At 35.3% G+C, this 13,577-nt stretch overlaps 1 protein-coding gene and 1 pseudogene across 46 annotated transcripts in view; one reads left to right on the top strand and one right to left on the bottom strand.

Annotated features, from left to right (window-relative positions):
- SYNE1 (spectrin repeat containing nuclear envelope protein 1) overlaps positions 1 to 13,577 on the top strand; it is a 515,676-nt gene that overhangs the window by 88,764 nt on the left and 413,335 nt on the right. For all 46 annotated transcript variants that reach the window (XM_047418508.1, XM_017010610.2, XM_017010609.2 and 43 more), the window contains one exon: positions 8,578 to 8,639. In XM_047418508.1, the coding sequence (XP_047274464.1) occupies positions 8,578 to 8,639 (62 nt within the window). The remainder of the gene's footprint in view (positions 1 to 8,577; positions 8,640 to 13,577) is intronic.
- On the bottom strand, positions 1,634 to 2,002 carry NANOGP11 (Nanog homeobox pseudogene 11; annotated as a pseudogene).

Below are 13,577 nucleotides of genomic sequence, written 5' to 3'. Positions count from 1 at the left end.
CATCTTGTCCAGATAGAGATGAGGTTCCTCAGGTGAAATTTCTCTCAATCCATAGACCCGTTAACTAAAAAGAGAAGTTACCTGCTCCCCACTTCTTCAACATGCAGTGATGAGGCAGGAGTGGGGTCACTTCAATAGATGCTTCTGTCCAAGGAGTGAGAGAATTGAACAGAGGGAGCAATTGTGGTCCAGCCATTCTGAAATCCAGTGAGCCACACGTGGCCAGTTCGTTTTGTCCAGGGGCAAGGCATGTTCCTTGCTATCTTGGTAAGAGATGGCTCAAGATTGCAACTGATAGTTTTCTTAGCCTTCTTCCTAGACACACAAAGTTGTGGTTCCAGTCTCCTGTTCATTTGGAGTGGTGCTGTCCCTTCAGTGAAAGCTGGCTTCCTAAAAACTTGTCTGTAGTGCATTCTGTGCCCCCAAAATCTCAGCTTTGAAACAAACATTGGACACATATGAGGCTGCTGTGGGCAGTGCCCTAAAGATTCTTAGAAGCTGGTTTGTCTAGTTGAGAAGGTCAACTGGGCACTACCTTAAATCTTTCCAAATGTTCTCTTTTTTCCCCAGCCTTATTGAGGTATAATTGATGAATACAACTTACATATATTTAAGTTGTACAGTGTGATGATTTGATATACATATAAATTGTGAAATGATTACCACAGTCAATTAACACATCCATTATGACAGATAAAGAAAACATGACACACACATACAATTGAATATTATTCCTCCATAAAAAAATAAGGAAATCCTACCATTTGCAATGACATGGATGAACCTGAAGGACATTATGCTAAATTAAATAAGTGAGATACAGAATGAAAGGTACTGTGTGATATCATTTATATGTGGAGTTTAAACAAGTCAAACTCTTTCTGAGTTTTCAACAATACTCATACCTTTGATTTGCTGTTACCCTGAAGCGTTTTCTTACTTTGCAAATCTTTTTTTTGGAAAGACTAGGAATAAGAAAATATCTTATTTTTCAGTCCATCATATCCTAGGCCTCTGTGTTTCCTCTGCCTTGTGTCTGCAAATGAAACAGCTCATTTCTGTCTCTTCCAGCACCTTATAATGTTCAGCTAAAAGAAGCCAACTGACACTTTCAGCATTCTGCAAGGAAATCTCCCTAGCCAGAATCATGAGTTCAAGTTACTGCAGGTGACAGAATATATAATGTACAAAATATGTACGGCTCTTTCTCCAATTTCCAATGGCGGTTCCCTCACTGCCCAATCAGCCTCCGCTAATAGGCTCTTTGTGTCCTTCCAATCTCCTTCCCCTATTTGGTCGCAAGACCAATGCCATATGTCTTAGATTTTTGTTAGAGCAACACCACACTCCTGGTAGCAATTTCTGTTTTGGTTAGCTTTTCCTGTGCAACAAACCACCACCAAATCTTAGTGGTGTGGAGCAACAACAGTTTAGGATTTCTCATGTTTCTGTGAGTGAGTTGGGTGTTCCTTCTGCCAGCTGTGCCTGGGCCCATTCACATGGCTACATGCTGGTGGGGTATCAGTTGGACTGGCAGGTCCAGGGCGGCTCACTCATGTATCAGGCAGCTGTTGCTGGCTGCCATCTGAGGTACCTCAGTTCTCCTCCAAGTGACTTTTTTTCTTTTCTTTTCTTTTCTTTTAGCTGTATTTTTACTCATTGAAACACTAGGTGAAATCAGGGTAAAGTCAACTAAAGGAAAAATGGTTATTTCATTCATTTGTACTTAAACCAGTCAAAAAAGTACAAATGTCATTATGATGCAGCAAATACAAGACCTCTTTCTACAAATATTAGCACAACCAACAAATTAGGGGATATAGTAAAACAGAGCCGAAAAGGGTGAGGAAATCAATGAAGTATGTTACAGCTTAACTCTTTACCTCAATAGAGTTTTTAAAAATAAGTAAAGCCTCCCAATCCCCAAAAATAGGAATATACCTTCATCACACCAATTTGTACTTTTATTTCTTATTCTTGAGGTTTAGAATCTATCCTCCAAGTGACTTCTTATTCACGAGGATCTTAGACCAGTTTCCTTGTGTAGAGGTCTCAGAGCAGAGTTGAATTCCAATATAGCCAAAGTGGAATCTCAAGTCCTCTTAAGGCCCAGCCTCAGATGTCACTTAAAATCACTTCTGTCATATTATTGATCAATGTAGATCTCAATGCCAGCCCAGACTCAAGGTCTGGGGAAATGAGACCACCTCCTAAGAGAAGAGGCAATAAAATCACATTGCAAAGGATGCGCTGATCACAATGGGAAGAATTTATGGTCATATTTGGAAATCTGCCACAGCCTGGTCCTGTAAATGTCTTTCATTTATATATTCAATTTTAAAATCTTAACATTGAGTAGTTATAAGCACCTGTAAATTGTCCATTTTCTTGTGTTGGACTATTCAATATACTTTATTCCCTACCCATATATAATAAAGTTAGTGGTAATTTTAGTAATTGTAGATATGCAATCCGGATAATATAATTCTGTTCCCAAATCAAGTCATTTGACTGTGTTTGGTAATTAATAATCATTACCTTGTCACTGTATGCCTTTGCTGTTGTTTTCCCCTTTGTATTCACGTCATTTGGTTGTGGGAAGAAATTCAATCTGCATTTGTCTATTTTTTCAATTTCATTCCAATATTTTATTGAGGTGTATTTGCCTGCAATGAAAATGATGAAAAATCTTTATTAGATACTACCAGGAATAATGTGATTTTAAATGTGTGATTTGTTTTAAATGAACATTTACATTTATATTTTTAGATAATTTAAATCCTTAAGACATGTATTTAAGCTATCATTATCATTAAAGAAACCTATTAGGCATAATAACAATCTGCAAATAAAACCCCAAAAAGTTTATCATAACCTATTGCAAGCTCCTATAAATGTATCAATGCATGGTACTATTTATGTATTTATTTTGCCAGAGATTGCAATTTCATGCTTACCTATATATAATTATGTAAACAGCATTTCTTTCTTCTTAGTATTAATTAATTTATGTATTTTTGAGATACAATTTTACTCTGTCACCCAGGCTGAAGTGCAGTGGCGTGATCTCTGCTCACTGCAACCTCTGCCTCCCAGGTTCAAGTGATTCTCCTTTCTTAGCCTCCCGAGTAGCTGGGATTACAGGTGCCCACCACCATGTCTGGCTAATTTTTATATTATTCATAGAGACAGGGTTTCACCATGTTGGCCAGGCTAGTCTCAAACTCTTGACCTCAAGTGATCCTCCTGCCTGGGCTTTGCAAAGTGCTGGGATTACAGGCATGAGCCACAGCACCCGGACTCTTCCTGGTAATATATATATTAAATGTGATATTAATTACAGATGGATACTTCTAGACATTTACTATTTTGCTCTTTATGATATTTTATGATTCTGATGAAAATACATTATGCATTATTATGTACATACTGATACATGAGATGCTATATCACTCAGTAATAAATTATTATGGAAGAATGTATTCAATATATTAAAATATACTAATTTCATTTACTGTCCAAATTTTAAACATACCATCTGTTAAGTGGATATTGTCATGTATTTTAACATTTTTGTAATTTAGTAAATCTATTTAAAAGGCAGTGGTCATAGGACCCTGTGACACAGTTTTACATCACATATTAGTTGGTACATTTGTTATGTAAGGTAAAATTAAAAGTATATTTAACATGTTTCTAGACAATATATTATTTGTGATTGATTGCAATGGCTGCACAATAACCCAAGCCACCTTTTATTATGATCTTTGTGCTTCCGGGTGCATGTTTAAGTCACCTAGAGTAAACCACAATTGTGCAGTACCCGCAGGTGACTATTAGTATAACTCATCAGGAAGAAAACCATGTGAACTGTCATCAGTTATGATAGTTTCCTAATAGTCAAATGGAATCACAGTTGCTAAATTGGGCCTCATTTGTGCATTTGTTGTATGTCATGATCTTGCCCTGAAATGGCAAAACACTGAGAAAATATCTAAAAATGGGCAAAGAAATGCAGAAATTGAATACCTGAGCCAGAACCCTTTTTTTTTTTTAACTCATTTCTACGGAGGGATACTACGGTATAATATTACCCAGAGCTAGGTGTTTATATAGCCTCAGCTGACTCCAATTCCTGAGGCCTGTAGGACCAACTGCTTTTGAAATACAAGCAATGTGAGCCTCAAGGATGAAGGACCCAGAGAGTATTTGGAACTCCTCTGTGGTTGTTGCTTTTAATGTTACACGGTCTGGCCTTTAGGAACCATTTACGATTTAGGTTATAAGAGAGAAGGAGAATGTGAACCAATTCTACCCAGTAATAATCACCCACACCAAAAACTGGTCTTAAATCAGAGCCTATCACAGCTGTGCAGCACCCAAATTGTAGTGTGGCTTCCCCAGCCACACCTCTCCTCTACCCTGACGCTGCTGTCATCTCATCCATTTTACGATGCCTTTGCAATTGGTCTGAATTCTCATAACTCTTCTTAAGCAGAAAAGCTGAGGACAGAAACATTGTTAATAAAGTTGTTACTTGTTAAATATATTTAAACTGTTTTCTTAAATATAATGACATATAAAGTCATGTGTAGCTTAATGATGGAGTTATATTCTGAGAAATTTGTCTTCTAGGTGAATTCATCATTGTGGGAACTCTGTAGGGTGTACTTGTGCAAACCTAGAGGGTATAGACTATTACACATCTAGGCTACATGATATAGCCTATTACTCCTAGGCTACAAACTTGTACAGCATGTGACTGTACTGAATATTGTAAGCAATTGTAGCACATGGTAAGTATTTTGTGTATCTGAACATGTCTAAATATAGAAAAAGCAATGGGTTGCCCTACAATGGCAGGACATCACTAGACAACTGGAATTTTTCAGTTGTGTTTATAATCTTATGGCACTACTGTCATCTATGAGGTTCGTCATTGGCCAAAAAATCATTATGCAGTGCATGACTGTACTTAAGAACTTTATAGACCTAGTCGTGAAGGTTCATTTTGTTCCCTGTCAACAGCATTAAAAAGAAATGTTATTGTTCATTAAACTTTTAACACAAGTTGATAGACATTCGTTGCATGTTTCTGTTACTTCCACAAATTGAACATTTTATGTTGTTGGTATCAGATTTAACTACCAAATCTTGGGAGTAAGGTTTTCAAGTTTTACATAAAAAATGAGGGTTTGCTGAATAATTAAATTAAACAATTTTTTTCTTTCAGGAAAATAGTAAGTAAAATCAGAAAAATATTTACCTAGAATTCAGCTGACTACGTTTGATAATACAAAAAGTGAATTGTAGGACCTAGTAAAATCTGTTTTTGCAACCATAGTAAAAAAGGAAACACGTAAAGAATTTAACATTTAAATATATGCTGTGCTACAAAAAAGATAATTTGAGGATTCTAAAAAAGGCCATTTAGCTGAAGTCTAACTATAAACTCAGAGATTTACCATCAGATGAAATTGTTACAATACTATTTTTATTTCATTAAAGGTTATAATAGTGAAAATATAACAATTTATATTAAGAAGTAATATATCATCAGATTATATATTTAATTTTATGACAGTATAACATTAACATATTATGCCAATTTATATTAACATTTTTAAACAGTGGTATTTTGTGATGTTTATAAAAGAATGTATAATCTCAAGTTGAGTGTAAACAATTTACATATAATCTAACTGTGTCTATTTTAGATTTTGAATTGGATTTTATGCATTATAAAGTTCCAAATTCCATCCAACCTACCTTGATTGGTTAAGATCATTTTGCCGCTACCTAACTTTATTTATACAACCTAAAGATTCTCAGGTCAAAAAATTTGAACTATAAATTTATAATTTTCATGAGATTAATATTTGATAGATGAATGTGGTAATTTTTATGCTACCCTTGAGTGACAGTATAATGGCATAGTATACTACTAGATATCTGAAGTCTACAACATGGCTGTGCTGCTGGATGACCTTGGTAGTTCAGTGTCTTGACAGTTTTATATGTAAAATGGGCATTATAATAGTTGCTGCTCATAGATCTTGACAAGAATTAATGGATTAATACTTATATAATATTACATGTAATATATAATGATAAATAAATGATAATTAAAATATCAAGTGATTGATTTATCTAAATGTCAGTGCCTGGTATATAGGAAGTGCTACTTATTTTTATACCAATTTGTTTTTTATATACACTTGAAAATTAATGAGCATGTTAAAATATATTAGAGGTCATGGATTCTGTCAATTTTATAGATAGATTCAAAATTTCTCCAAATTAAAAGGTTTTGTATTTATTTTCTTTACTCATTCATTCTTATTGGTCATACTTGCAGGCATTGGGAACCAAGTTGCTGTCCTCCTGGGCTTTACATTCTAGTAGACAAGCAAATGGTCTGGGCTGAAGCACAGACAAGGTCAGAGACAAAGACAGAGATTTGGGTATCATCCCTCAAAGGGCGAGGGATTGAAATTATTTCTTGTGTATGTCCCCCACAACATAGCGTTTACTAGTTTGTGAACAGCTGATACTCAGTACATGCTGGTGGGGTGGATAAAATTCAATTCTTCTTTTGAAGGTATTAAACTACTTCTGTGTGGCTTTTCTCTCTTTTTTTTTCAACTTTTATTTTAGGTGCAGGGGTTACATGTCTAGGTTTGTTACATGAGTAAATTGTGTGTCGCTGAGTTTTGTGTATGAATGGTCTCGTCACCCGGTTAGTGAGCATATTACCCAATAGGTAGTTTTTCAACCCACACCCCCTCCCAGGATACAAAATCAATGTACAAAATTCTGTGGCATTTCTTTTCTTTTTTTTTTTTTTTTTTGAGATGGAGTCTCACTCTGACGCCCAGGCTGGAGTGCAGTGATACGATCTCGGCTCACTGCAAGCTCTGCCTCACAGGTTCACACCATTCTCCTGCCTCAGCCTCCTGAGTAGCTGGGACTACAGAGGCCCGCCAGCACACCCGGCTAATTTTTTGTATTTTTAGTAGAGGCAGGGTTTCACCGTGTTAGCCAGGATGGTCTTGACCTCCTGACCTCGTAATCTGCCTGCCTCGGCCTCCCAAAGTGCTGGGATTACAGGCATGAGCCGCCACGCCTGGCCAATTCAGTGGCATTTCTATACACCAACAACTTGTAACCTGAGAGCCAAATCAAGGATGCAACCCCATTTACAATAGTCACACACACACAATAAAATACCTTGGAATACATCTAACTAAAGAGGTGAAAGATCTATCTCTACCAGAAGAACCATAAAACACTGCTGAAAGAAATCATAGATGATACAAACAAATGGAAAAGCATCCCATGCTTATGGATGAGAAGAATCAATATTGTTAAAATATCCATACTGCCCAAAGCAATCTACAGATTCAACGCTGTTCCTGTCAAACTACCAACATCATTATTATCTCTTTATACCTCTAATTAAAGCCTATCCAAACCCTACCTCTTTTCCTTTCTATATTAGTTCCTCTTGTTACATAGCAAAGTACCGCAAACCTTGAAGTTTAAAGCAACAATCATTTATTATCTCCAAATGGTTGCATGTCAGGAGTCCATGCAAAGCTTAGCTGCATTATCTGTTCAGGGTCTTACAAGGCTATAACTAAGGCATCAGCTGGATTTCATTCTTATCTGGATGCTCAACTGTGGAAGAATCCACTTTTGGGCTCTGTCACAATGTTAACAGAATTCATTCCTTGTGACTGTTTGACAAGGGCCTGGTGTCTTACTGGCTGTTCACTGAGATTGCACTTCACTCCTGAAGGGAGCCTCTAGTTCCTTGCCATTGACCCTCTGCAAAGGAACTTCACAGCCTAGCTGGTTGCTTCTTCTAGGCCAGCAGGAGAATCTCTCACTCCAGTCAGCTAAGCTGGAGTATCATAAAGTAACATGATCACAAGTGTGACATCTCATCACCTTTGTCATATCCTATTGGCTAGACACAAATCACAGGTTCTACCCACATTCTGCCGACACAAAAATGGGGACTCCATGTGGTGGGAATTTTTGGAGGTCACTCCAGTGTGTAGTCACCACATTCTCATCTGGGTGAAGTTCCTTTTTTGCTTCATGTATACGGCTCTATCTTATTGCATTACTGTGTAACCCTTTACTATTCATAGCCCTTGCTTGTCCATTTCCACCTCTAGATATTTTATAGCAGGGACCTTGCCCTATTCAACCCTCTGTATTCCTTTGCACTTAGCATAAAATTCAGCACTTAGTGGTCTTGGTGAATTTTCATTTTTAACAGCTTTGTTGAAGTATAAGTCATCAGTGAATTTTAAGTAAGTGGATGAAGGTAAACATAGGGCTAACAAATGGCAAATTTTAAAGCATTTGCAGATAATTTTTAAAGGAATAGTCTATATGATTATGTAGATCGACTCTTGTTGACTTTTCCCTTCAAGACAATAATTGGTAAAATGAATGAGAAAACGATTTCACGATTCCTTCCAGATTTGTGTAAATAGGACTTTTTCTCATTATACAGCTTCATGAAATATTACATTATTTAACCAGATTTCTTTTTCCTTCTAGATGAGCAAGAGATAGTACAAAAACGAACTTTCACAAAATGGATCAACTCTCATCTGGCCAAGGTAAAGGAAACTACCCAGCATTACAGGTTTACTTAGGTTGAGCCAGTAAATCATTAAATGTCCAGTATAACAAAATGCTTCTGTCCCTGTTGTCACTGTTGCGAATCAATGATACTGTAATCTTATTGGTTGGTCTAGCTGTTGCCTAAGAGTGGAATTTGCTAACATTGCTTCTGGGAAGAAATGAACTTATAGCTAGAGTCAAGAGCAGTTACTTCATGTCAATTCTGTGAATCTTGAGAAACTATTTCATCCAATTATTTTTTCTAATACTAATGTGTGTGTCATATCAAAAGGAGAATTTGTGCTGGATTTTTGTTTGTGTGTGTTTGTTCCTATTTGGAACACAAAGAAGCTATAAGTGATCTATGCTAAGCAAAAGATTTTAGCTAAAGATATTATGATAGTATCAGTGCTCTCATCTCTGGTGCTTTGATTTAAAAAAGTAACCATGGTAATAGGACATGAAAAGGCTAAAATCATTCTAGTATTATCCACTCTGTCATTCACTGATATTAGGTGACTATATGTCTATATATTATAATGTCTTTGAACATAAATGCTAATATAAAATAAATCTTAATCTTGATACAGTATAATAAAATTAATCTCTTGTACTGCTGATGAAAAAATAAGCAAGCCAAGAGACATCATATTTGTAAAAATAAATTCAGATGATGGGACAATTGTGTCTGAATTCAGTTAGAGGATTTGCTGATAATTTTTAAAGGAGTAGTCTATATGATTATATAGTGGAAGTTATGTTGACTCTCCCTTCAAGTCAATAATTGGTTAAATGAATTAGATGATAAAACAATTTTATCTTCAAATTTTTTATTCTCACTTTTGCTGAGAGTGGTGCCTGTAGTATGTAAAGCCCAACCCTACAAGCAGGTTTTGATCAGGGGCTTCCCCAAAGCCATTTTGATAGCGCAGAAGCAAACAAAGCATGACAGTTGATTTTAGTCCCATTCTACAGATTCACTGCTTACTTTGTGTCTGCGCTAGCCTTTGAAGACAGGAAAAAATTAGTAAAACACTTTCCCAGGCCCCGAGAAGCTTGCAATCCAGCCATGAAAGAAGCCTAGAGCGACCTGTCTAGATATAGGATAAACCAGGGTCATCTTTCCTATGCTCTCTTCCCCACAGCACTTGATGAGAAGGGAATTTGGCCCAGTAGTTGCCCCACAATCTGCTCTGTAAAAAGGCAGTGGATACATAGGATTGATGACTTTGGGGCTTATTTTTTAAAGCTTCCGTTGGTCCCATCTGGCAGCTATTTGTACTATGGAATTGTCATCGATTGGGGAAAAGGTTTTGTTTTTTTTTTTCAAAATGAAAAGAGTTATTATTTTTTCATAGTGTACAGAGGTTACGTAATTGAAAATAATATTAATAATGAAACTTTTAGAAAGTGTAAAGAAAGTAAAAGTAATCTTATATCACATAATCCAGATACAGTCATCATTAAGATATTGGACAACACTTTTCTACACACAGTTTCATATAAGTGGTTTTATAGGATATTGTTCTGGAGCCTCTATTTCACCCAACACGTCAATCCATGACAATAGATAGAACTATGTAATTATTGTAATGGCTAAATAAACTTTGTCATGTTTATCTGTGATGAGTTAGCCAGTTGCCTGTGGAGGGTTATTTAGGTGGTTTTCAGTTGTTTCATATTATATAAAATACTACAGTGAAAGTCCTGGTATACGTTGTTTGAACACTTGTATGATATTTTCTTCTTAGGATAAATTTCTAGAAGTAGGTAGTCAACAGCTATGCACAATTATGATTTTAATATATTCTAAGATCTTCTAAGAATCCCCATTTCCTTGCACTATTAAAACACCCTTCAAAGTTTTTAATAGCTAGAGGTTGGAACTCAACCCTGGAATAATGGCAGTGATGAGCTTGTCTCCCCTTTCATGTTTGATGTTTCCTTGCATGGTAATCCAGGTATACATAGCTCTGTGCTTTGGAATGTTTTCAGATAAACTGACAACCAAACCGTTTATGAGTTAAATTTACCATTTCCAAATATAGCTTTAATAATAGGTAGTGGCAGGTTTAAGAGCTGGGATGTTTAGTTGAGAAGAAAGGAAGTTGATCCTTTTCTCCTAAAGTTCTTCTATCTTGGGAGCACTGGGAGCTGTTCAGAAGATGCTTAGGCAATCAGGCAGGAGAAAGAAATAAAGGGTATTCAATTAGGAAAAGAGGAAGTCAAATTGTTCCTGTTTGCAGATGACACGATTGTATATCTAGGGGCACTTTTTAATAGGAATTTTTATTTTTGTGCTTGACTGCTTTGCTCAGTTGCAAATTAATATACTTTTGACTTTTAATTAAATAAAAAATCTTTTACTGATGACATTTTATTCTAGTGTAACATTTCTTTATAAATATTATGATAGCAATAAGAAGAGATAGTATGCAAATAAGATTGCAATCTGTTTTTTAAAACATGCTTTTATTATTTTTTCTTTTTTACATTTGTTAATTATTATAAGTAAAAATATGCTTTTCTTAAAACAAAAATCTTATTATAAGTAAGAAAAAAACCTAAGGATTTTCTGTGTTTGTGTTTTTATTCTATTTTTACTACACAAATGTTAGATCATTAAAACTTGTGGGTATAAATATCTGTTCTTTTTTGATGTTTATTATCAAATTGAAGTCTTAATGCTTCTCCAATTATGTAAAACATTGCAAATCACAAATTGTTGATATAACATTAACAATTGGCGGGTTGTTGTTATTTCATATACCTGATAATTTCTTTCAGGGATGGGGCTCTATTGTTAGACATTGAACCTATAATTTTCTCACTTTTCAAGAAGAAACCAGTATCTTTCTATTCTGTTAGCTCTGTTAATGAAAGAAGGTGGAGTATTTTATTAAATTAGCCCAATATTGATTTTTAGTGATGGTTTTTCAAAGTCAAGTTTCTGACTCACATCTAGCTTATCAGCACTTATTGAGAAAACATGTTCCTAAATTCTTACCACGTGCCAATTACAGTGCCTTAGCAACTTTATCTCTTATTTATTTAACCCTCACACAAGAAAATGCATTATTTTTATTATTTTGTAGATTATGAACCAGAAGCTTAGAGTTCTAAGCTTAAATGGAGAAAAATGGATAGACTGAAAAGATGTTTAGGAGTGGACTTGATAGAACTGAGTAATTAATTGGAATCTTGGAGGGGAAGGAATCAAGAATGACTTCTAGATTTCTGACTTGAGCAAATGATTGAGATTATTCACAGATATAGGGAATACAAGAGGCTTGGGGGGAAAGCTAGGAAATTCAGTTTAGAAGGAGAAATTAGTTGGTAAAGGTGAACCCATTCGATTTGGCAGTTTGGAAGTCATTGGCCGCCATTGGGAGTGGCCATGTTATAGTAGAAACTAGACTCTAGCGAGCTGATGAGTAAATGAGAGGTAAGGATGTTAGTACACTTAATATATATTACTATATATATTGTATATATATATAAATATATATTACTATATATAGTTATATATATAAATATATATATTACTATATATAGTATATATATAAATATATATATATTACTATATATATATTAGTATACTATATATATAGTTATATATATATATTACTATATATATTGGCGCAGAACATTGGATTTGGTAAAAGCTGTTTTAATAAAGGGTGGTCATGAGCCTGCATCTGTATAGAAGGGAATGATCAAGAGCTTGTAGAGAGGGAGAGGCTGAAAAAGAAGGCAATGAATGGGATTCTGAAGGAACAAGGCGCCCGAGGAGGCAGAATGAGAGAAGAAATCAAGAGCAGAGGTGGAGGGTGTAGGTTTGTTCCAGAGCAGAGATATCTCCCCTTCTCTGAGACTAGCATTGGGAATAGGAAAGTGGGTGTGGCTGTGTCTAACTTTGGGATAAGCAGAGAGATGAAGACAGAGGTGGCATGGACTTAAATTTGAAGGAATTCTCACCTAATGACCATGGATGTCTTAGGCCTAACAGCATAGGCCTTGCATTTTAGGCAAAGAAGTTATGTTACGATGAATATATTTAAAATTTGACAGTTAAAAATAGTTCTTTCACATTTTAAAATATATCTTAAAAAATTCCTACATTTTATATAAAATTCATAGACTGTTGTAGTTATTTAGTACTTCAGCCACCCAAAGGGAACAATCTTTAAAAACCCTTTGTAAAAAGTTAGATGTTTAAAATTAGGCATGTATAAGCAATCTTAATATTTATATTGATTATTTTCTATTATCAAATGCTTGCAGTTTCATATTTTCTCTCATTTTATCAAATAGAATGGAATATTGTATCTTTATTTAAACACCCTTGATTCAATCTTATGATATTTGACTGTGAGATAAATAGATTGCTTGTCACTAAGCCCTTTGAGGAAAAATAGGTCTCAAATAGCCATGTTTTAGTGTTTCTATAAATGGAGCTTCTTTTCAATATAGAATGAGCAGTCCTTTATCCTTCTGTCAGCCTAAAATTTATGGAGCCATCAACAAAAGGCACTGAACATTTTAAATACTGTGTTTGGGATGAACTCAGGCATGATATGAGCATCTTCTCACTTTTCAGAAAAACTGCAGAAAAAAAATTTATAAAACATTATTTAGGTTCCCTATTAATTGCTGGGATTGCCGTAACAAAGTACCACATACTGGGTGGCTTAAAATGAGAAATTTGTTATCTCAGAGTTCTGGAGACTCGAAGGCCAGGCTCCTTCTAAGTCTCTGGGTAGCTGCATTATTTCAGTCTCTGCCTCTGTGCATGTCTGTGTCCAAATTTCACCACTGTGTGAGGGCACTAGTCATATTGGATTAGGACCCATGCTAATGACCTCATTTTAACTTGATTACCTCTCTAAAGACTCTATTTCCAAATAAGGCTGCATTCTGCAGCATTTTGGGGG

The sequence above is a fragment of the Homo sapiens genome, chromosome 6 (assembly GCF_000001405.40).
Source record: "Homo sapiens chromosome 6, GRCh38.p14 Primary Assembly".
In the NCBI taxonomy this organism is placed as follows: Eukaryota; Metazoa; Chordata; class Mammalia; order Primates; family Hominidae; genus Homo; species Homo sapiens.
Note: the sequence above shows the minus strand (reverse complement) of the source record. Positions and strands in the feature narration are given on the sequence as shown.